Source organism: Homo sapiens, chromosome 17 (assembly GCF_000001405.40).
Source record: "Homo sapiens chromosome 17, GRCh38.p14 Primary Assembly".
NCBI classification, from domain to species: Eukaryota; Metazoa; Chordata; class Mammalia; order Primates; family Hominidae; genus Homo; species Homo sapiens.
The window spans coordinates 35,375,231-35,399,964 of NC_000017.11; the positions used below are offsets into that span (position 1 = coordinate 35,375,231).

General features: G+C 39.6%; 1 pseudogene, besides 2 other annotated features; it reads right to left on the reverse strand.

Annotated features, from left to right (window-relative positions):
- On the reverse strand, positions 6–2,516 carry UFM1P2 (UFM1 pseudogene 2; annotated as a pseudogene).
- Positions 18,692–19,193: an enhancer, noted in NCBI's record as "H3K4me1 hESC enhancer chr17:33720941-33721442 (GRCh37/hg19 assembly coordinates)". NCBI's record gives its function as "activates a minimal SCP1, AML or CMV promoter by ChIP-STARR-seq in primed H9 embryonic stem cells {active_cell/tissue: H9 hESC(primed)}" and the evidence as "EXISTENCE:reporter gene assay evidence [ECO:0000049][PMID:30033119]".
- Positions 19,194–19,693: an enhancer, noted in NCBI's record as "H3K4me1 hESC enhancer chr17:33721443-33721942 (GRCh37/hg19 assembly coordinates)". NCBI's record gives its function as "activates a minimal SCP1, AML or CMV promoter by ChIP-STARR-seq in primed H9 embryonic stem cells {active_cell/tissue: H9 hESC(primed)}" and the evidence as "EXISTENCE:reporter gene assay evidence [ECO:0000049][PMID:30033119]".

The window sequence follows — 24,734 nt, forward strand, 5'->3', positions numbered from 1 at the left end:
CTTTTTTTACAATATAACAAAATGTATTTTCATTGGATATTAATTATGAACCCACAATGCATGTAAACTAAATACAATACTTCAAATCATTCTGCACAAAGAAATTACAGATCACATTTATTTAATAACAAAATGTCTAATTGTTTAATAAAATGTTTTTAGGAACTTACAATATAATTTTCAAAAACAAAGAATAAAAATATTAAATATATCACTTTATGGCAGAGGACAACATAAATTTATTTCTGCAACACAGCAGGCAAACTTTTGTGCTAGAAACAGTGGAGAAAAAATTTAAAGCAAAAAGTCAGGAAATGGATGTTCACAAATTTCTGGTTAACTGAGGCTCAATAGTTATTGTAAGAAACGGGCGTTTGAACATCAGATTTTAAAATAAAATATTTTAAATATTTTTATTTTATAATATTTTAAAGATTTTATTTATAAGATTTTAAAATTTTAAAATATTTTTATTTTATAAAAATAAAAACTTCCTCAAACACCAGAGTTTTTCACCTCAGCAAATGTCTTTTCCTTTGATAATTCATAATCCTGCTGTTCATTTGTCACATATATGAATATCTGGTAACTTCATAAACAACTACCAATGGCACACTTCAAATGCTGAGTCTGTTGAATTTTCTTATATCTTTTTCCCCAATGAACCTAGAGCCTATAACAGAGAAGATACTGAAACATGCTAAGATAATAATTGGTCTTAGAGAGACTTCACAGCAAGTATTTAATGAAAGCCACTACATTTCCAGCTCTAAAAAGAGCCAGACAGACACAATCCCTGCTTCCAGAGTTCACCGTTCAGACAGAATACAGCAGGGCAAGCACTGATTCTGAATCATTATGAGCTTTGATTTCATCTTTCAAGATTTACATAGATACTGATTTCTTCTGGAAGGGCACATAAAATCTTCCCTTACACACATCATTCTTTGGATTCTCATAAGGGGTATTTTGAAGTCTGTATGTTGACAAGGCCAGTAGATACTTAGTTTTCTCTAATTGCCTTCTACTACTTAAGACTATGTCAAGTATTTTGTTTTCCCTTTCAGTTCTCCCCAACCTCTACCTTCTGCAGTGTTGTCTATCCAGTTGGCTTTTCTGTAACACTTTGCTACACTTTTCTGTTCCCCTTCACTGTTTTCCTCCGTTGCTTTCCTCCTTAACAGAAGCCTGGTCATCTAGGTTTCCCCATCTTTCCTTTCCTGGCTTCTTATTCACATGAGTGACTAATCTTAGCACTTCCTTAAAAGTTGGATCTTCAATAAATATAACTTGTCAGCACTTTCAATCTGCATCTCCTTGAGCTTTTTTTTTTTTTTGATCATCAGATCTTCTGTGCAATAATATTCTCTTCCTGAATGCTATTTAGAAATATTATCCTCAAAACACCAATGGTTTCTTGAAGATACTTGTTTTAAAAGTTGTATCAAAAGAGATTGATAAAGGAATCTATAACTCAGCAAAGGATGCTTCTACTGTATTGTGAATTCCCACCATTACAAATATTGGATTCTGCAAGTCCAACATTAAAACCTGGTATGAGACATCAATTTATACACATAAGAGTTACATTATTATTTTAATTTTTTTGTGGATACTAAACTGAAATTTATATAATACATGAGGTTTTAATCTTAGAAAAAGTAAATGATAAAAATTTAATATAGTTAATTGTTCACTGATATGTCTATTGACTTCATCATAACCTATATATTTAATTAAAAATCAAACTATGAGTCTGCAAATCAGATGCTATCAAGCAAATTGCCATCCAGGATCCGTAATTCTTTGTATATTTTTAAGTCAGATGAATATATAAGATTCAGTAAATTTTAATGTTCCAAATTGTTCTCAAAAAAAAAATTATCAGAACCTTGCAGTTAACACAGTTGGCTAATTCATTTCCCCCCAATGAACTACCTATTTGTGTTGTGAGGTAGCAAAGACTATGATCTTCTGTGACAGTAGTAGCCTTAATTCTTATGCATTCCCTCTTCATATGAAGAGTATGAACAACAAAAAGGGACAGATGAGTCACCTTTCATTATTCATTGACTCTTAGTGTTTTCATAGTATGTTAAATGCCTGATTTCAATTTTACAACAACAAAAAATACCAATATTTATTCTGAAAGGCAATCGTATGTTCCAAGTAGCAGATATTAACAACTTCCAACATGATCTCTAGGAATAATCCGCAGTTCTGAACCTTGTTTTAGAAAAACATTTCCAGCAGTCTGTGCAAGATTTATTCCTATTCCATCATTGGTAATAACTGCACTTGTTGCAGCAGGAGCTTTAAATTCTTCGGCTGCAAACTTTAAGACTGCTGTGAAAGGTGTACTTTCAGGAAAGTACAAAGTACACTGAGTACTTTGTATGGCAGCTGCGTGTCCGATGTCAGCATGATCTTAAAGGAAACCTTCGACATGGTGGTACCAGGATGAATCTAGAACACACGCCAACTCTGCGGGGTAGCACGACTTCCTCCACTGTGCTGAAAATTATTCTTAAAATAATTAAGTTTTTAAAGGAATAAAACTATGTATTGTGGTGCTTATAATAGAAATATTTTGTTTTTAGGAATAGAGGAAATGGGTGTGTATTGTTATAAAGCTCTTACATAATTCACAAAGTCATATGCTATGATTAAACTGTGGTAAGTTGAAGGTGCATATTGTAAGCCCTAGAGCTACCACAGAAGAAATGGGAACAAAAACATATAGATAATAAACCAACAGAGGACTTTTCCTTATGACTCCTATTTTCTTCCTGTTTTTACAAAAATATTATTTTTCCTACCTGTTTTTGCTTTATAGACATGCAGTGGACTTTTTCCCCATAAGTTATTGGGGTACAGGTGGTATTTGGTTACATGAGTAAGTTCGTTAGCGGTGATTTGTGAGATTTTGGTGCACGTATCATCCAGGCAGTATACACTGCAACATATTTGTAGTCTTTTAATCCCTTGTCCCCTTCCCACGCTTTCCCCAGAGTCCCCAAAGTCCACTGCATCATTCTTATGCCTTTGAGTCCTCATAGCTTAGCTCCCACGTATCAGTGAGAATATACAATGTTTGGTTTTCCACTCCTGAGTTACTTCACTTAGAATAATAGTCTCCAATCTCATCCAGGTCACTGCAAATGCTGTTAATTCATTCCTTTTATGGCTGTGTAGTATATATGTATGTATGTGTGTGTATATATATATATATATATATATATATATATATATATATATATATATATATGATGGAATACTACCGTGGTGTATATATACATATATCTCACAGTTCCTTTATCCACTCATTGATTGATGGGCATTTGGGTTGGTATCATGATTTTCCAATTGCGAATTGTGCTGCTACAAACATGCGTGTGCAAGTATCTTTTTCAAATAATGACTTCTTCTCTGGATAGATACCCAGCAGTGAGATTACTGGATCCAATGGTAGTTCTAGTTTTAGTTCTTTAGGGAATCTCCACACTGTTTTCCATAGTGGCTATACTAGTTTACATTCTCACCAGCAGTGGAGAAGTGTTCCCTGTTCACTGCATCCATGCCAACATCTACTGTTTTTTGACTTTTTTGTTATGGCCATTCTTGCAGGAGTAAGGTGGTATCGCATTGTGGTTTTGATTTGCATTCCCTGATAATTATTGATGTTGAGTATTTTTTCATATGTTCATTCACCATTTGTATATCTTTCCTTGTGAATTGTCTATTCATGTCCTTAGCCCACTTTTTGATGGGACTGTTTTTTTTCTTACTGATTTGTTTATGTTCATTGTAGATTCTGAATATTAGTCTTTTGTCAGATTTATAGACTGTGAAGATTTTTTCCCACTCTGTGGGTTGTCTGTTTACTCTGCTGACTGTTCCTTCTGCTGTGCAAAAGCTCTTTAGTTTAATTAGGTCCCAGCTATTTATCTTTGTTTTTGTTACATTTGCTTTTGAGTCCTTGGTCATGAAATCTTTGGCTAAGCCAATGTCTAGAAGGGTTGTTCCAATGTTAACTTCTAGAATTTTTATACTTTCAGGTCTTAGGTTTAAGTTCTTAATCCATCTTGAATTGATTTTTGTATAAGGTGAGAGCTGAGGATCCAGTTTCATTCTCCTGCATTGGACTAGCAAATTATCCCAGCACCATTTGTTGAAAAGGGTGTCCTTTCCCCACTTTATGTTTTTGTTGGCTTTGTCAAAGATCACTTGGCTGTAAGTATTTGGATTTATTTCTGGGTTCTCTATTCTGTTCCATTGGTCTATGTGACTACTTTTATACTAGTACCATGCTGTTTTGGTGACTATAGCCTTACAGTATAGTTTGAAATCAGGTAGTGTGATGCCTCCAGATTTGTTCTTTTTACTTAGTCTTACTTTGGCTATGCAGGTTCTTTTTTTTGGTTCCATATGAATTTTAGAATTGTTTTGTTCTAATTCTGTGAATAATGATGGTGGTATTTTGATGGAAATTGCATTGAATTTGTAGATTGCTTTTGTCAGTATGGTCATTTTTACAATATTGATTCTACCCATCCATGAGCATGGGATGTGTTTCCTTTTGTTTGTGTTGTCTATGATTTCTTTCAGCAGTATTTTATAGTTTTCTTTATGGAGGTCTTTTGACTCCTTGGTTAGGTATATTCCTAAGTATTTTGTTTGTTTATTTATTATTTATTTATTTATTTGTTTGTTTTTGCAACTATTGTAAAAAGGGGTTGAATTCTTGATTTGATTCTCTGCTTGGTCACTGTTGGTATATAGAAGTGCTACTAATTTGTGCACATTAATCTTGTATCCAGAAACTTTGCTGAATTCTTTTATCAGTTCTAGGAGCTTTCCAGAAGAGTCCTTAGGGTTTTCAAGGTAAATGATCATATCGTCAGCAGTGACAGTTTGACTTCCTCTTTACCAATTTGGATGCCCTTTATTTCTTTCTGTTGTGTGATTGCTCTGGCTAGGACTTCCAGTACTATGTTGAAGAGGAGTAATGAGAGTGGGCCTCCTCGTCTTGTTCCAGTTCTCAGAGGGAATGCTTTCAACTTTTCCCCATTCAGTATTATATTGGCTGTGTGTTTGTTATACATGGCTTTTATTACATTAAGGTACGTCCCTTGCATGCTGATTTTGTTGAGATTTTTAATCATAAAGTGACACTGGATTGTGTAGAATGCTTTTTCTGCATCTATTGAGATGATCACGTGATTTTTATTTTTAATTATGTTTATGTGGTGTGTCACATTTATTGACTTGCATATGTTAAACCATGCCTGCATCCCTGGTATGAAACCCACTTGATCATGGTGGATTAGAATTAGAACAAAACAATTCTAAAATTCATATGGAACCAAAAAAAGAACCTGCATAGCCAAAGTAAGACTAAGTAAAAAGAACAAATCTGGAGGCATCACACTACCTGATTTCAAACTATACTGTAAGGCTATAGTCACCAAAACAGCATGGTACTAGTATAAAAGTAGTCACATAGACCAATGGAACAGAATAGAGAACCCAGAAATAAATCCAAATACTTACAGCCAAGTGATCTTTGACAAAGCCAACAAAAACATAAAGTGGGGAAAGGACACCCTTTTCAACAAATGGTGCTGGGATAATTTGCTAGTCCAATGCAGGAGAATGAAACTGGATCCTCAGCTCTCACCTTATACAAAAATCAATTCAAGATGGATTAAGAACTTAAACCTAAGACCTGAAAGTATAAAAATTCTAGAAGTTAACATTGGAACAACCCTTCTAGACATTGGCTTAGCCAAAGATTTCATGACCAAGGACTCAAAAGCAAATGTAATAAAAACAAAGATAAATAGCTGGGACCTAATTAAACTAAAGAGCTTTTGCACAGCAGAAGGAACAGTCAGCAGAGTAAACAGACAACCCACAGAGTGGGAAAAAATCTTCACAATCTATAAATCGTTTTGATATATTGTTGGATTTGGTTAGCTAGTATTTTGTTGAGGATTTTAGTATCTATGTTCATCAAGGGTATCGGTCTGTAGCTTCCTTTTTTGGTTATGTCTTTTCCTGGTTTTGGTATTAGGGTGATGCTGGCTTCATAGAATGAATTAGGGAGGTTCCTTCTTTCTCTATCTTGTGGAATAGTGTCAAAAGGATTGGTACCAATTCTTTTTTGAATGTCTGGTAGAATTCTGCTGTGAATCTATCTGGTCCTGGACTTTTTTTGTTGTTGGTAATTTTTAAATTACCATTTCAATTTTGCTACTTGTTATTGGTCTGCTCGGAGTATCAAATTCTTCCTGATTTAAGCTAGGAGGCTTGTATTTTTCCAGGAACTTATCAATGTCTTCTAGGTTTTCTAGTTTATGTGTGTAAAGGTGTTCATAGTAAGGGAGGAGACCACACCTCATATTGTCTTATGCCCAATTTCTGCCTCCAAAGAAAGAAGAAGTAAAACCTAAAAGGCAGAAATGAAATCCACAAGCAGACAGCCTGATGCCACACCCTGGGCCTGGTAAAGATCGACCCCTGACCTAATTGGTTATGTTATCTATAGATTACAGACATTGTTTAGAAAAGCACTGTGAAAATCCCTGTCCTGTTCTATTCCGTTCTGATTACTGGTGCATGCAGCCCCCAGTCATGTAACCCATGCTTGCTCAATCAATCATGACCCTCTCACGTGGACCCCCTTAGAGTTGTGAGCCCTTAAAAGGGACAGGAATTGCTCACTCAGGGAGCTCAGTTGTTGGAGACATGAGTCTTGCTGAAGCTCCCGGCCAAATAAAGCCCTTCCTTCTTTAACTCGGTGTCTGAGGGGTTTTGTCTGCGGCTTGTCCTTCTACAATAGTAGCCTTGAATGATCTTTTGTATTTCAGTAGTGTCAGTTGTAATATTTCCTGTTTCATTTCTTAATGAGATTATTTGGATTTTCTCTTCCTTTCTTGGTTAATCTTGCTAATGGCCTATCAATTTTATTTATCTTTTCGAAGAACCAGCTTTTTGTTTTATTTATCGTTTGTATTCTTTTGTTTCAATTTCATTTAGTTCTCCTCTGATCTTGGTTATTTCCTTTCTCCTGCTGGGTTTGGGTTTGGTTTGTTCTAGTTTCTCCAGTTCCTTGAGGTGTGACCTTAAATTGTCTGTGCTCTTTCAGACTTTCCTCTTAGCATCACCTTTGCTGTGTCCCAGAGGTTTTGATAAGTTGTGTCATTATTGTCCTTCAATTCAAAGAATTTTTAAATTTCCATCTTGATTTTGTTTTTGACTCAATGCTCATTCAGGAGCAGGTTATTTAATGTCCATGTATTTGCATGGTTTTGAAGGTTCCTTTTGGAGTTGATTTCCAGCTTCATTCCACTGTGGTCTGAGAGAGTGTTTGGTATGATTTCAATTTTCTTAAATTTATTGAGGCTCGTTTTATGGCCTAACATATGTTCTCTTTTGGAGAAAGTTCCATGCACTGTTGAATAGAATGTATATTCTGTGGTTGTCAGATGAAATGTTCTGTATATATCTGTTAAGTCTATTTGTTCCGGGGTATAGTTTAAATCCATTGTTTCTTTGTGGACTTTCTGTCTTGATGACCTGTCTAGTGCTGTCAGTGGAGTATTGAAGTCCCCCACTATTATTGCGTTGCTGTCTATCTCATTTCTTAGGTCTATTAGTAATTGTTTTATAAATTTGGGAGCTCCAGTGTTAGGTGCATATATATTTAGGATTGTGATATTTTCCTGTTGGACAAGGCCTTTTACCATTATATAATGTCTCTCTTTGTCCCTTTTAACTGCTGTTGCTTTAAAGTTTGTTTTGATACAAGAATAGCTACCCCTGCTCGCTTTTGGTGTCCATTTGCATGAAATGTCTTTTTCTACCCCTTTACTTTAAGTGTATGTGAGTCCTTATGTGTTAGGTGAGTCTCCTGAAGGCAGCAGGTAGTTGATTGGTGAATTCTTATCCATTCTGTGGTTCTGCATCTTTTAAGTGGAGCATTTAGGCCATTTACATTCACTGTTAGTATTGAAATGTGAGGTACCTTTGCAATCATTGTGCTTTGTTGCCTGTGGACTTGTTTTTTGTTTTTCTTTTTAACTTGTATTTTTGTTTTATAGGTCCTCTGTGATTTATGCCTTAAAGAGGTTCTGTTTTGATGTGTTGCCAGGATTTGTTTCAAGATGTAGAGCTCCTTTTAGCAATTCTGGTAGTGGTGGCTTGGTAATGGCGAATTCTCTCAGCATTTGTTTGTCTGAAAATGACTGTATCTTTCCTCCATATATGATGTTTAGTTTTGCTGGGTACAAAATTCTTGTCTGATAATTGTTTGTTTCAGGAGGCTGAAGATAGGGCCTCAACCCCTTCTAGCTTGTAGGGTTTCTGCTGAGAAATCTGCTGTTAATCTGATAGGTTTTCCTTTATAGGTTACCTGGTGCTTCTGTCTTGCAGCTCTTAAAATTCTTCCCCTCATCTTAACTTTAGATAACCTGATGACAATGTGCCTAGGTGAAGATCTTTTCACAATAAATTTCCCATGTTTTCTTTGTGTTTCTTGTGTTTGGATGTCTAGTTCTCTAGCAAGGCTGGGGAAATTTTCTTCAATTATTCCCCGAAATACGTTTCCCAAGCTTTTAGAATTCTCTTCTTCCTCAGGAACACCGATTATTCTTAGGTTTGGTCATTTAACATAATCCCAGACTTCTTGGAGGCTTTTTTTGTATTTTCTTATTCTTTTTTCTTTGTCTTTGTTGGATTGGGTTAATACAAAGACCTTGTCTGTGAGCTCTGAATTTCTTTCATCTACTTGGTCAATTCTATTGCTGAGACTTTTTAGAGCATTCTGCAATTCTAAAAGTGTGTCCAAAGTTTCCTGAATTTTTGATTTTTTTTTCTTTAAGCTATCTATTTCCTTGAATATTTCTCCCTTCACTTCTTTTAGCATTTTTTGGATTTCCTTGCACTGGGATTTTCTCTGGTCCCTCCCTTATTAGCTCAATAACTAACCTCCTGAATTTTTTTTTTTTTTTTTTGGGTAAATCGGATTTCTTCTTGGTTTGGATCCATTGCTGGTGAACTAGTGTGATTTTTGGGGAGTATTGAAGAGCCTTGTTTCATCATATTACTGGGGTTGGTTTTCTGGTTCTTTCTCATTTTGGTAGCCTCTGTCAGAGGGAAGGTCTAGGGCTGAAGGCTGTTGTTCAGATTCTTTTGTCCCACAGGGTGATCCCTTGATATAGTACTCTCCCCATTTTCCTAAGGATGTGGCTTCCTAAGAGCTGAGCTGTAGTGATTGTTATCTCTCTTCTGGGTCCAGTCACCCAGCAAGTCTACCCGGCTCTGAGCTGGTACTGTGGTTTGTCTGCACAGAATCCTGTGATGTGAACCATCTATGGGTCTCTCACCAGTGCCTGTTCTGGTGGAGGTGGCAGAGGGTGCAACAGACTCCATGAGGGTCCTGAGCTTTGGTGGTTTAATGCTCTATTTTTGTGGTGGTTGGCCTCCTTCCAGGAGGCTGCACTTTCCAGAAAGCATCAGCTATAGTAGGCCCCAAGTAGGCCCCAGTGTCTGTTCTTCCCCGCTTTGTGTCCATTTGTTCTTATCATTTAGTTCCCACTTATAGGTGAAAACATGCCATATTTGGTTTTTTGCTCCTGCATTAGTTTGCTAAGGATAATGGTCTTCAGTTTCATTCATGATCCTGCAAAGGACATGATCTCATTCTTTTTTATGGCAGCATTGTATTCCATGGTGTACATATATCACATTTTCTTTGTCCAGTCTACCATTGATGAGCATTTAGGTTGATTCCATGTCTTTGCTATTGTGAATAGCGCTTCAAGGAACATACGCATCAGTGTCTTTATGGTAGAAAGATTTATATTCCTTTGGGTATATACTCAGTAATGGGATTGCTGTGTCAAATGGTAGTTCTGTTTTTAGCTCTTTGAGGAATTGCCGCACTGCTTTCCACAATGGCTGAACTAATATACACTCTCACCAAAAGTGTATAAGTGTTCCCATTTCTCCATAACCTCGCCAGCATCTGTTATTTTTTGATTTTTTAATAATAGCCATTCTGACTGGTGTGAGATGGTATCATGTTGTTTTTGCTTTTGTTTTTTTGAGATAGATCTCACTCTGTCACCCAGGCTGGAATGTAATGGCATGATCTTGGCTCACTGCAACCTCTGCCTCCTGAGTTCAAGCAATTCTCCTGTCTCAGCCTCCAGAGTAGCTGGGACTACAGGCGTGCACCACCATGCCCAGCTAATTTTTTGTATTTTTGGTAGAGATGGGGTTTCACTATGTTGGCCAGGCTGGTCTCGAACTCCTGACCTCAAGTGATCCACCCACCTCAGCCTCCCAAAGAGCTGGAATTACAGTGTGAGCCACTGCGCCTGGCCCTCATTGTGGTTTTGATTTGCATTTCTCCAGTGACAAATAATATTGAATTTTTTTCATCTGCTTGATGGCCAAATGTGTCTTCTTTTCAAAAGTTTCTGTTCATGTCCTCTGCCCACTTTTTAATGGGGTTGTTTTTTTCTTGTAAATTTGTTTAAGTTCCTTATAGATGCTAGATATTAGACCTTTGTTAGATGGATAGATTGCAAATATTTTCTTCCATTCTCTATGCTGTCTGTTCACTCTGTTGATAGTTTCTCTCGCTGTGCAGAAACTCTTTGGTTTAATTGGATCCCCTTTGTCAATTTTTGCTTTTGTTGTGATTGCCTTTGGCATCTTCATCAGGAAATCTTTGCCAGTTCCCATGTCCAGAATGGTGTTGCCTAGGTTGTATTCCAGGGTTTATATAGTTTTGGTTTTACATTTAAGTCTTTAATCCTTCTTGAGTTGATTTTTGTATATAGTGTAAGGAAAGGGTCCAGTTTCAATCTTCTATATATGGCTAGCCAGTTATCCGAGGACCATTTATTGAATAGGGAGTCCTTTCCCCATTGCTTATTTTTATCAGCTTTGTGAAATATCTGATGGTTGTAGGTGTATGGCATTATTTCTGGAATCTACTCTGTTCCATTGGTCTGTGTGTCTGTTTTTGTACCAGGTCCATGCTGTTTTGGTTACTGTAGCCCTACAATAGTGTTTGAAGTTGGGTAACGTGATGCCTCCAGCTTTGTTCTTTTTGTTTAGGACTGCTTTGGCCATTTGGGCTCTTTTTTAGTTTGATATGAATTTTAAAGTTTTTTTTTCTAGTTCTGTGAAAAATGTCATTGGTAGTTGGATAGGAATAGCATTGAATCTGTAAATTGCTTTGGGCAGTATGGCCATTTTAATCATACTGATTCTTTCAATTCTTGAGCATGGAATGTTTTTACATTTGTTTGTGTCATCTCTGATTTCTTCAAGCAGTGTTTTGTAATTCTCATTGTAGAGCTCTTTCACCTCCCTGGTTAGGTGTATTCCTAGGTATTTTATTTTTTGGTGGCAATTGTGAATGAGATTTCATTCCTGATGTGCCTCTCATCTTGGCTGTTGTTGGTGTATTGAAATGCTAGTGATTTTTGTGCATTGGTTTTGTATCCTGAAACTTTTCTGAAGTTGTTTATCAGCTAAGAGAGCTTTTAGGCCAAGACTATGGGGTTTTCTAGGCATAGAATTATGTCATCTGCAAACAGGGATAGTTTGACTTCCTGTCTTGCTATTGGGATGCCCTTTCTTTCTTTGCCTGATTGCTCTGGCCAGGACTTCCAATACCATCTTGAAGAAGGGTGGTGAGAGAGGGCTTTCTTGTCTTGTGCAAGTTTTCTAGGAGAATGCTTCCAGCTTTTGCCCATTCAGTATGATATTGGCTGTGAGTTGGTCATAGATTGTTTTATGTCTGATTGTGTGGTGGTCAGTTATAGAGTACATGCCACGTAGCAATGAGAAAAGTGTATATTCTGTTGTTTTGGGGTGGAGAGTTCTGTGGAGGTCTATCAGATCCATTTGGTCCAATATTGAGTTCAGGTCCTGAATATTTTTGTTTATTTTCTGCCTTGATGATCTTCTAATACTGTCAGTGGAATGTTGAAGTCTCCCACTATTATTGTGTGGGAGTCTAAGTCTCTTTGTAGGTCTCTAAGAACTTGCTTTATGAATCTGGATGCTCCTATGTTGGTTGCATATATATTTAGGATGGGTAGGTCTTCTAGTTAAATTGAACCCTTTACCATTATGTAATGCCCTTCTTTTTTATTTTTTTTACCTTTTTTGGCTTGAAGTCTGTTTTGTTTGATATTAGGGCTGCAACTGCTGCTTTTTTCTGATTTCCATTTGCTTGGTAGATTTTCCTCCATCCCTTTTTTTTTTTTTTTTTTTGAGCCAATGGGTGCTTGAGAAATGGTTGTCCAGGAGACAGAATACCATTGGCTCTTGCTTTTTTATCCAGCTTGACATCCTGTGCCTCTTAAATGAGGCATTTAGCCCATTTACATTCAAGGCTAGTATGTTAGCAAGTTGATATGTGTAGATTTGATCCTGTCATTGTGTTGTTAGCTGGTTATTATGCTGGCTTGTTTGTGTGGTTGCTTTATGGAGTCACTAGTCTAAGTACTTACATGTGTTTTTCTGTTTGCTGGTAATGGCCTCTCCTTTCCATATTTAGTGCTCCTTTCAGGATCTCTTTTAAGGCAGGTCTGGTGGTAATGAACTCTCTCAACATTTGCTTATATGCAAATGATCTTACTTCTTTGCAGAGGAAGCTTAGTTTGGCTGGATATTAAACCCTTGGTTGAAGATTTTTTTCTTTAAGAATGTTAAATACAGGCCCTCAATCTCTTCTGGCTTGTAGGATTTCTTCTGAGAGGTCCATTGTTAGCCTGGTGGGGTTCCCTTTGGAGGTGACCTGTGCTTTCCCTCTAGCTGCCTTAAATATTTTCTTTCATTTCTCTCTTGGGGAACCTGATGATTATGGGTCTTGGGGATAATCTTCTTGTGTAGAATCTTGCAGAGGTTCTCTGTATTTCCTGAATTTGACTGTTGGCCTCCCTAGCAAGGTTAGGGAAGTTTTCCTGGACAATATTCTCAAAAATGTTTTCCAAGTTGTTTGCTTTCTCCCCACCCCTTTCAGGGATTCCAGTGACCCATAGATTTGGCCTCTTTACATAATCTCATATTTCTGGGAGGTTTATTCATTTCTTTTTATTCTTTTTTCTTTATTTTTGTCTGACTGCTTTATTTCAGAGAATCAGTCTTCAAGTTCCAAGACTGTTTCTTCAGCTTGGTCTATTCTGCTGTTAATACTTGCCACTGCATTGTGAAATTATTGTAGTGTGTTTTTTCAGCTCTATCAGATCAGTTAGATTCTTTATTATACTGGCTATTTCATCTGTCAGCTCCTGTTTTATTGTGATTCTTGGTTTCATTAGATTGGGTTTTGCTGGTCTCCTCAATCTCAGTGATCTTTGTTCCTGTCATGTTCTAAAGTATACTTCTGCCATTTCAGCCTAGTTACAAACCCTTGCTGGAGAACTAAGTGTGGTTGATTGGAGGACATAAGATACTCCGGCCATTTGAGTTGTCAGAGTTCTTGTGTTGGTTCTTTCTCATCTTTGCATGTGGATGTTCCTTTAACTATGATGTAGATTGAATACACTCAGAAGACTTCTTTTCCGGATGTTTTCACAGGTCAAGGCTTTGTGCAGGGTCTTTATGTATAGCTGACTTATCTTTGGTTTGACTGGATTGTATGTTAGCAAGGTATTTTGGTGCTGAAGCTTTGGGGTGTGGTCCAGTTGGTGGTGCTTAGCGTACTGGCCAGTTAATAGACTCTTGCTCGGTTATGCGGTTTTTGTGTTTCCTCACAGTTGCAGCTGTGCTCTCTCTCAATGCTCTGAAAGTGTGAGCTCCTCTCCCACTTGAGTTCTGGCTGTAGATTGTCTTGGCACTCCTGGGCTGCCCACCACAGCTCTGGGGTGATCTCAGGGTTTATGTTGCCTCCTTAACTTGGAGGCAACTGATGAAGGGACCTTATTTGTAGTGGTCATGGCCAAGGGTCTTTTGCTGGTCTCCTGGAGGCTCCACCCTAGAGAGATGCAGATCAGCAATCACTCAGTGCAATCGGCCCAGAATGGGGGGGGTCTCTGCTTTGGGCCCCAGCTGGATCCACATCCCTGCCTAGTGATGAGCAGGTGGGTGGGTGGGGAAGCATGGGAGATGTTCTGGCTTCCTCTTCTTGGGTCAACTGCTGCTTGTTGAAGGTGTGGAGAATGTACTTAGGGTCTTTGCTCCTTTGCTAGTCTGAGGGCAGCAGGAATAGTACCACTGCAGAGGCAGTGGCAGAGGGGCTTTCAGTTTCCCATGGGGGTTCTACCTCTGAGTAACATAGAGCTGCTGTTACTGGGAATGTTCAGCCAGTAGGGTGAGGTGGCTGCACTACTGGCATGAGCTCAGGGTCCTGCTTGTTGGGAAGCAGGGGGCTGAGGGTTCACCAGGAGGAGAGCCTGGCCTCTTCTCCATATAGTGACTGTGGCATGCTGTAGCTTGGTTGCAGCCCTCAGGCTCTGTTTCTTCCCCAGATTGAGGGCAGCAAGGATAGAACCACTGCTGTGGCAGTGGCAGAGGGGCTGTGTTGGATGCCTCTGGAAGTCTCTCCCCAGGGTAATTCTGGGCCACTCTCAGTGGGTATTCTCAGCTGTGGTTACAGTGGCTGTTCTGCAGTAATGAGCTGGGAAAACTGCCTGGCAAAGAGTGGGGAATGGGAGTTCCCAGGGAATAAGGGCTGGACTTCTATCCATATGGTGGCTGCAGTGTGCTGGCAGTGCCAGCATAGTGACTAGGTGCTTTTTTCTTTCTCCAGCTTGAGGGCTGCTAGGTCACTAACACTGCAACTGCAGAGGCAGAGGGATTGCAGGTTGACTCTGGGATTTCCTCCTCAAAATAATGTTGAGATGCCTCTGATTGAAGTGGCCAGGCAGGGGCAAGGTGGTTGTGCTGGAGTCCCAGGTCAGGTAGCCCTGCCCATTGAGGAGAAGTGAGGACCAGGACCTGCATGGAGAACAATACGGCCACTTTTCCATCAGGTGGGTGCTCTGTGCTGGGGGTCTAGACCAGCCCCTGACCTCCAGAGAGTCTCCAGATCCTGCAGACAGCAAGGGCGAGGGCTGCAAGACAGCAAAGACAGCAATCTACCCCTCCCACTTGGAGCTCTGTCCCAGAGAGTTGCCAAGCTGCTACTAGCTTGATAGCCCCAGTGGGGGGTGTCTGTAGAGGTTTTATAAAGGAGAGTGGCTTGTAGGGTTTTATAAATGGCAGTTCCCTTTATAATTTGATAGAACCTTCCAAACAGGAACATTTGGATTTAAAACCCTTCCCATCTCCATCAACCCAGTGAGCAATAATATTCAACTTTTCAGAAGACAATCTTTCCTAGGAATTTTAAAACAAAATGCAAATGTAAATTACAAAATGTAAATTGTAAAATGTAAATGTAAACTAAATATATTAGTTTACTAACTCTATGTTTTTCATACCCTGACAACTTCTTTTACTCTCCAGAAAGACTACATGTTGTAAGTTAGGAGTCAGTTGTCCTTTATATACATAGATAAATAAAACAAAATGCACAGACATAAGAGACAATGATTAATCTTGCCTCACTATAAGCACCCTGGCATAGAGTTCATACACTTCCTCCTTCTCCCTCGGCACCAAAGTAGTACACAAACACAATGTGTATTACGCAAGATGTGGTTTGGCCATTCCTCTCCAAAACAACATTTCATATGAATTTTAACACCAAAGTACCAAAATGTGTTATTTTACTACCTCTAATTTTAACAAATGTCTGGCACTTCAGAACATCTAGAAAGACTAGATATTAACATTTCAAAAAAGTTCTTAGCATTGTCAGCTATGTATACAGTAGTGGTGAATAAAACACACACACACATAACAATGGTGAGAATACGAAAATGTCTTCTAAATATAACCAGTCAGGCATAGAACCTTCTTCTCTTCCTTCTCAGGTCTTCCGCTCCATGTCCTCTAACCCCCTGAATAAATGTGGACTTGTCACTCTTGGTGTCACTTCCAGAGGTGGTCTGACAACTCCATTTCAAAAAGTCATCTACAGAAGACATTTATTTTCTATGATTTCTTTTTAAACAAATGGGAATATACAAGATATGTGATTTTCTAACTCTGTCATACCATGGGAATCTCTTTACATCTAGAAGGGCTAGATTTAGCAAATGTTTTCTTTTAAAGGGTTGGGAGGAAAGTTGAGAACAGCTTTTTCATATTAAATACACAGGCCTTCTATAAATGGCCAGTAAATCTTCCCAAAGTGTGGTGGGCCTTTCAATGGGCCAAATGTGGCATGTTATTCTACCATTCTTCCAACATCAACATCTGGTAGGTAGAACCAAGACCCACCCTCACCAATGGGTGCTAACCGTTCCACCCATCATGCTTGGGGGACTCCACTCACCTTCCTGTGGTTAAGGCCTTTGTCCAGTGTCATCAGGACTAGGTAGGTCTCGCCCAACTGGGACAGAGTGGTCACCCCAGGACCCGGATCTGTGTGGCTCCATGGCCTAAACAGGCCGCCGAGCCTGCGTCCGTAGACCTGCCTTCTCGGGCCCTACACACCCTATAAATGGCCTCTGCGCCCTCCCAACCGCTACCATATTTCCTGCCCCCCCCCATACCTGCCGCCACCCAGAGGCGCTGCATCCAAGTGGCACTCAGGGCTTCCTCTAGCCCCAGCAGGGTTGGGCCTGAAAACCCCCCAAGTGGCAGAGTCCTGGCAGGATCATGGCAGGGTCCAGGCTGAGAGATGGCAGCCACGATCAGGTCATCTTAGAAATAATATTCCATTGGATATACCACAGTTTGTTTTTTCATTCACCTATTGAGGGACATCTTGATTGCTTCTAGTTTTGGGCACTTATGAATAAGGCAGCTATAAACATCCACGTGCAGGTTTGCATGTGGATATATGTTTTCAACTCTTTTATGTAAGTACCTAGGAGTGTGATTGCTGAATCATATGTAAGCCTGTGTTTATTTTTGTTAAGAAGCTGCCAACCAGCAATGAGTGAGAGTTTCTGTTGCTCCACATCCTCACTAGTGTTTGGTATTGTCAGGTTTTTTGTGAGGTTTTGTTCATATATTTTTTGGATTTTAGCCATATAGTTGTATAGTGGTAACTCATTGTTTTGATTTAAAATTACCAGCCGGGTGTGTTGGCTCACTCCTGTAATCCCAACACTTTGGGAGGCTGAGGCAGGTGGATCACCTGAGGTCAGAAGTTTGAGACCAGCCTGGCCAACAGGGTGAAACCCCATCTTTACTAAAAAATACAAAAATTTGCTGGGCATGGTGGTAGGCGCCAGTAACCTCAGCTACTCGGGAGGCTGAGGCAGGAGAATTGCTGGAACCCAGGAGGCAGAGGTTGCACTGAGCTGAGACCATGCCATTGCACTCCAGTCTGGGCTGACAACAGCGGGACTCCATCTCAAAAATAAATAAATAAATAAATAAAATTACCAACCCATAATGTTGGCCATTTATTCCTACGCTTAATTGCTATCCATAAATCACTTTGATGAGGTGTCTATTCACATCTTTTGCCCATTTCAGTTGGATTGTTTTCTTGTTATTGAGTTTTTGGAGCTCTTTGTGTATTTGGGATACAAGTCTTTATTAGATGTGTGTTTACCAAGTACTTTCTCCCAATCTGTGGTTTGTCTTTTCATTATCTTAATAGTGTCTTTCTCAGGGCAGAAATTTTTAATTTTAATGAAGCCCAATGGCCTATTTTTTTTTTCATGAATTATGCTTTTGGTGTTGCATCTGAACAGTAATCACCAAATACAAAGTCATGTAGATTTTTCTTCTTTAGCCTGATGATATATGGTGGATTACATTGATCAATTTTCAAATAATAGAGCCAGCCTTGCACTCCTGGAATAAATCCTGGTATATAAGTCATTTTATATATTGCTGATACTATTTGCTGGAAATTTATTAAGAGTTTTTGGTCAGGCATGGTGTCTCATGTCTGTAATCTCAGCACTTTGGGAAGCTATGGTGCGAAGCTCACTTGAGCCCAGGAGTTTGAGACCAGCCTGGGCAACATAGTGAGATCTTGTCTGTACAAAAAAAAAAAAAAAAAAAAAGCCAGGGATGGTGACCCACGCTACTCAGGAGGCTGAAGTGGGAGGATGGCTTGAGTCTGGGAGGTTGAGGCTACAGTGAGCCGTGATCGTGTCACTGCATTCTATCCTGGGTGACAGAGTGAGACCCTGCCTCAAAAAAAAACCAAAAAAAGAGTTGTTACATTCATATTTATAAGGTCTATTGGTCTGTGGTTTTCTTTTCTTGTACTGTCTTTGTCTGGTTTTGATATTAGGTAATACCATAAATGAATTCACAAAATGAATTGGGAAGTGTTGTTCTCTCTTCTGTCTTTTGGAAAATAATATGTATAATTGATGTTAACTTTTTTTAAGTGTTTGGCAGACTTCTCTAATGAAATCACCTGGACACAGATACTTCTTTCTTGGGAGCTTGTAAATGACAAATTCAATTTGAGGAAGCAGTTCGTTTCATGTTTTCTTATTTATGAATGCAGAGTTGTTTGTAGTATTACCTCATTATCCTTTGGATGTCTACGTGGTCTGTGTTAGGTTTTGAAGGGAAGGCAAGGGTTAAAGAAAGACACAGGGAAAGCAGCGGCTCTACAGCAAATGCAGGCTTTATGTCCAGCATAAGACCTACAGAAGTGGGGAACGGGAGGAGGAGCCAAGACGGCCGAATAGGAACAGCTCCGGTCTACAGCTCCCAGCGTGAGCGACGTGATTTCTGCATTTCCATCTGAGGTACCAGGTTCATCTCACTAGGGAGTGCTAGACTGTGGGCACAGGTCAGTGGGTGCGTGCACCGTGCGCAAGCCAAAGCAGGGCGAGGCATTGCCTCACTTGGGAAGTGCAAGGGGTCAGGGAGTTCTCTTTCCTAGTCAAAGAAAGGGGTGACAGACGGCACTGGAAAATCGGGTCACTCCCACCCGATTACTGCGCTTTTCCAACGGGCTTAAAAAACAGCGCACCAGGAGATTATATCCCGCACATGGCTCGCAGGGTCCTACGCCCACGGAGTCTCGCTGATTGCTAGAACAGCACTCTGAGATCAAACTGCAAGGCGGCAGTGAGGCTGTGGGAGGGGCGCCTGCCATTTCCCAGGCTTGCTTAGGTAAACAAAGCAGCTGGGAAGCTCGAACTGGGTGGAGCCCACCACAGCTCAAGGAGGCCTGCCTGCCTCTGTAGGCTCCACCTCTGGTGGCAGGGCACAGACAAACAAAAAGACAGCAGTAACCTCTGCAGACTTAAATGTCCCCATCTGACAGCTTTGAAGAGAGCAGTGGTTCTCCCAGCATGCAGCTGGAGATCTGAGAACAGGCAGACTGCCTCCTCAAGTGGGTCCCTGACCCCTGACCCCCGAGCAGCCTAACTGGGAGGCACCCCCCCAGCAGGGGCAGACTGACACCTCACATGGCTGGGTACTCCAACAGACCTGCAGCTGAGGGTCCTGTCTGTTAGAAGGAAAACTAACAAACAGAAAGTACATCCACACCAAAAACCCATCTGTACATCACCATCATCAAAGACCAAAAGTAGATAAAACCACAAAGATGGGGAAAAAACAGAGCAGAAAAACTGGAAACTCTAAAAAGCAGAGCACCTCTCCTCCTCCAAAGGAACGCAGTTCCTCAGCAGCAACGGAACAAAGCTGGACGGAGAATGACTTTGACAAGCTGAGAGAAGAAGGCTTCAGACAATCAAATTACTCCGAGCTACGGGAGGACATTCAAACCAAAGGCAAAGAAGTTGAAAACTTTGAAAAAAATTTAGAAGAATGTATAACTAGATTAACCAATACAGAGAAGTGCTTAAAGGAGCTGATGGAGCTGAAAACCAAGGCTCGAGAACTACGTGAAGAATGCAGAAGCCTCAGGAGCCGATGCGATCAACTGGAAGAAAGGGTATCAGCGATGGAAGATGAAATGAAGTGAGAAGGGAAGTTTAGAGAAAAAAGAATAAAAAGAAACGAGCAAAGCCTCCAAGAAATATGGGACTATGTGAAAAGACCAAATCTACGTCTGATTGGTGTACCTGAAAGTGACAGGGAGAATGAAACCAAGTTGGGAAACACTCTGCAGGATATTATCCAGGAGAACTTCCCCAATCTAGCAAGGCAGGCCAACATTCAGATTCAGGAAATACAGAGAACGCCACAAAGATACTCCTCGAGAAGAGCAACTCCAAGACACATAATTGTCAGATTCACCAAAGTCGAAATGAAGGAGAAAATGTTAAGGGCAGCCAGAGAGAAAGGTCGGGTTACCCTCAAAGGGAAGCCCATCAGACTAACAGTGGAGCTCTTGGCAGAAACTATACAAGCCAGAAGAGAGTGGGGGCCAATATTCAACATTCTTAAAGAAAAGAATTTTCAACCCAGAATTTCATATCCAGGCAAACTAAGCTTCATAAGTGAAGGAGAAATAAAATACTTTACAGACAAGCAAATGCTGAGAGATTTTGTCACCACCAGGCCTGCCCTACAAGGGCTCCTGAAGGAAGTGCTAAACATGGAAAGGAACAACCGGTACCAGCCACTGAAAAATCATGCCAAAATGTAAAGACCATCGAGACTAGGAAGAAACTGCATCAACAAACAAGCAAAATAACCAGCTAACATCATAATAACAGGATCGAATTCACACATAACAATATTAACTTTAAATGTAAATGGACTAAATGCTCCAATTAAAAGACACAGACTGGCAAATTGGATAAAGAGTCAAGACCCATCAGTGTGCTGTATTCAGGAAACCCATCTCACATGCAGAGACACACATAGGCTCAAAATAAAAGGATGGAGGAAGATCTACCAAGCAAATGGAAAGCAAAAAAAGGCAGGGGTTGCAATCCTAGTCTCTGATAAAACAGACTTTAAACCAACAAAGATCAAAAGAGACAAAGAAGGCCATTACATAATGGTAAAGGGATCAATTCAACAAGAAGAGCTAACTATCCTAAATATACATGCACCCAATACAGGAGCACCCAGATTCATAAAGCAAGTCCTGAGTGACCTACAAAGAGACTTAGACTCCCACACATTAATAATGGGAGACTTTAACACCCCACTCTCAACAATAGACAGATCAACGAGACAGAAAGTCAGCAAGGATACCCAGGAATTGAACTCAGCTCTGCACCAAGCGGACCTAATAGACATCTACAGAACTCTCTACCCCAAATCAACAGAATATACATTTTTTTCAGCACCACACCTATTCCAAAATTGACCACATAGTTGGAAGTAAAGCTTTCCTCAGCAAATGTAAAAGCACAGAAATTATAACAAACTATCTCTCAGACCACAGTGCAATCAAACTAGAACTCAGGATTAAGAATCTCACTCAAAACCGCTCAACTACATGGAAACTGTACAACCTGCTCCTGAATGACTACTGGGTACATAATGAAATAAAGGCAGAAATAAAGATGTTCTTTGAAACCAACGAGAACAAAGACACAACATACCAGAATCTCTGGGACGCATTCAAAGCAGTGTGTAGAGGGAAATTTATAGCACTAAATGCCCACAAGAGAAAGCAGGAAAGATCCAAAATTGACACCCTAACATCACAATTAAAAGAACTAGAAAAGCAAGAGCAAACACATTCAAAAGCTAGCAAAAGGCAAGAAATAACTAAGATCAGAGCAGAACTGAAGGAAATAGAGACACAAAAAACCCTTCAAAAAATTAATGAATCCAGGAGCTGGTTTTTTGAAAGGATCAACAAAATTGATAGACTGCTAGCAAGACTAATAAAGAAAAAAAGAGAGAAGAATCAAATAGATGCAATAAAAAATGATAAAGGGGATATCACCACCGATCCCACAGAAATACAAACTACCATCAGAGAATACTACAAACACCTCTACGCAAATAAACTAGAAAATCTAGAAGAAATGGATAAATTCCTCAACACATACACTCTCCCAAGACTAAACCAGGAAGAAGTTGAATCTCTGAATAGACCAATAACAGGAGCTGAAATTGTGGCAATAATCAATAGCTTATCAACCAAAAAGAGTCCAGGACCAGATGGATTCACAGCCAAATTCTACCAGAGGTACAAGGAGGAACTGGTACCATTCCTTCTGAAACTATTCCAATCAATAGAAAAAGAGGGAATCCTCCCTAACTCATTTTATGAGGCCAGCATCATCCTGATACCAAAGCCAGGCAGAGACACAACCAAAAAAGAGAATTTTAGACTAATATCCTTGATAAACATTGATGCAAAAATCCTCAATAAAATACTGGCAAACCGAATCCAGCAGCACATCAAAAAGTTTATCCATCATGATCAAGTGGGCTTCATCCCTGGGATGCAAGGCTGGTTCAATATATGCAAATCAATAAGTGTAATCCAGCATATAAACAGAACCAAAGACAAAAACCACATGATTATCTCAATAGATGCAGAAAAGGCCTTTGACAAAATTCAACAACCCTTCATGCTAAAAACTCTCAATAAATTAGGTATTGATGGGACATATTTTAAAATAATAAGAGCTATCTATGAAAAACCCACAGCCAATATCATACTGAATGGGCAAAAACTGGAAGCATTCCTTTTGAAAACTGGCACAAGACAGGGATGCCCTCTCTCACCACTCCTATTCAACATAGTGTTGGAAGTTCTGGCCAGGGCAATTAGGCAGGAGAAGGAAATAAAGGGTATTCAGTTAGGAAAAGAGGAAGTCAAATTGTCCCTGTTTGCAGATGACATGATTGTATATCTAGAAAACCCCATTGTCTCAGCCCAAAATCTCCTTAAGCTGATAAGCAACTTCAGCAAAGTCTCAGGATACAAAATCAATGTGCAAAAATCACAAGCATTCTTATACACCAACAACAGACAAACAGAGAGCCAAATCATGAGTGAACTCCCATTCACAATTGCTTCAAAAAGAATAAAATACCTAGGAATCCAACTTACAAGGGATGTGAAGGACCTCTTCAAGGAGAACTACAAACCACTGCTCAAGGAAATAAAAGAGGATACAAACAAATGGAAGAACATTCCATGCTCATGGGTAGGAAGAATCAATATCGTGAAAATGGCCATAGTGTCCAAGGTAATTTATAGATTCAATGCCATCCCCATCAAGCTACCAATGACTTTCTTCACAGAATTGGAAAAAACTACTTTAAAGTTCATATGGAACCAAAAAAGAGCCCACATCGCCAAGTCAATCCTAAGCCAAAAGAACAAAGCTGGAGGCATCACACTACCTGACTTCAAACTATACTACAAGGCTACAGTAACCAAAACAGCATGGTACTGGTACCAAAACAGAGATATAGATCAATGGAACAGAACAGAGCCCTCAGAAATAACGCCGCATATCTACAACTATCTGATCTTTGACAAACCTGAGAAAAACAAGCAATGGGGAAAGGATTCCCTATTTAATCAATGGTGCTGGGAAAACTGGCTAGCCATATGTAGAAAGCTGAAACTGGATCCCTTCCTTACACCTTATACAAAAATTAATTCAAGATGGATTAAAGACTTAAATGTTAGACCTAAAACCATAAAAACCCTAGAAGAAAACCTAGGTATTACCATTCAGGACATAGGCATGGTCAAGGACTTCATGTCTAAAACACCAAAAGCAATGGCAACAAAAGACAAAATTGACAAATGAGATCTAATTAAACTAAAGAGCTTCTGCACAGCAAAAGAAACTACCATCAGAGTGAACAGGCAACCTACAAAATGGGAGAAAATTTTCGCAACCTACTCATCTGACAAAGGGCTAATATCCAGAATCTACAATGAACTCAAACAAATTTACAAGAAAAAAACAAACAACCCCATCAAAAAGTGGGTGAAGGACATGAACAGACACTTCTCAAAAGAAGACGTTTATGCAGCCAAAAAACAAATGAAAAAATGCTCACCATCACTGGCCAACAGAGAAATGCAAATCAAAACCACAATGAGATATCATCTCACACCAGTTAGAATGGCAATCATTAAAAAGTCAGGAAACAACAGGTGCTGGAGAGGATGTGGAGAAATAGGAACACTTTTACGCTGTTGGTGGGACTGTAAACTAGTTCAACCATTGTGGAAGTCAGTGTGGCGATTCCTCAGGGATCTAGAACTAGAAATACCATTTGACCCAGCCATCCCATTACTGGGTATATACCCAAAGGACTATAAATCATGCTGCTATAAAGACACATGCACACGTATGTTTATTGCAGCACTATTCACAATAGCAAAGACTTGGAACCAACCCAAATGTCCAACAATGATAGACTGGATTAAGAAAATGTGGCACATATACACCTTGGAATACTATGCAGCCATAAAAAATGATGAGTTCTTGTCCTCTGTGGGACATGGATGAAACTGGAAATCATCATTCTCAGTAAACTATCACAAGAACAAAAAACCAAACACCACATGTTCTCACTCATGGGTGGGATTTGAACAATGAGAACACATGGACACAGGAAGGGGAACATCACACTCTGGGGACTGTTGTGAGGTGGGGGGAGGGGGGAGGGATAGCATTGGGAGATATACCTAATGCTAAATGACGAGTTAGTGGGTGCAGCGCACCAGCATGGCACATGTATACATATGTAACTAACCGGCACATTATGCACATGTACCCTAAAACTTAAAGTATAATAAAAAAAAAAAGTGGGGAACC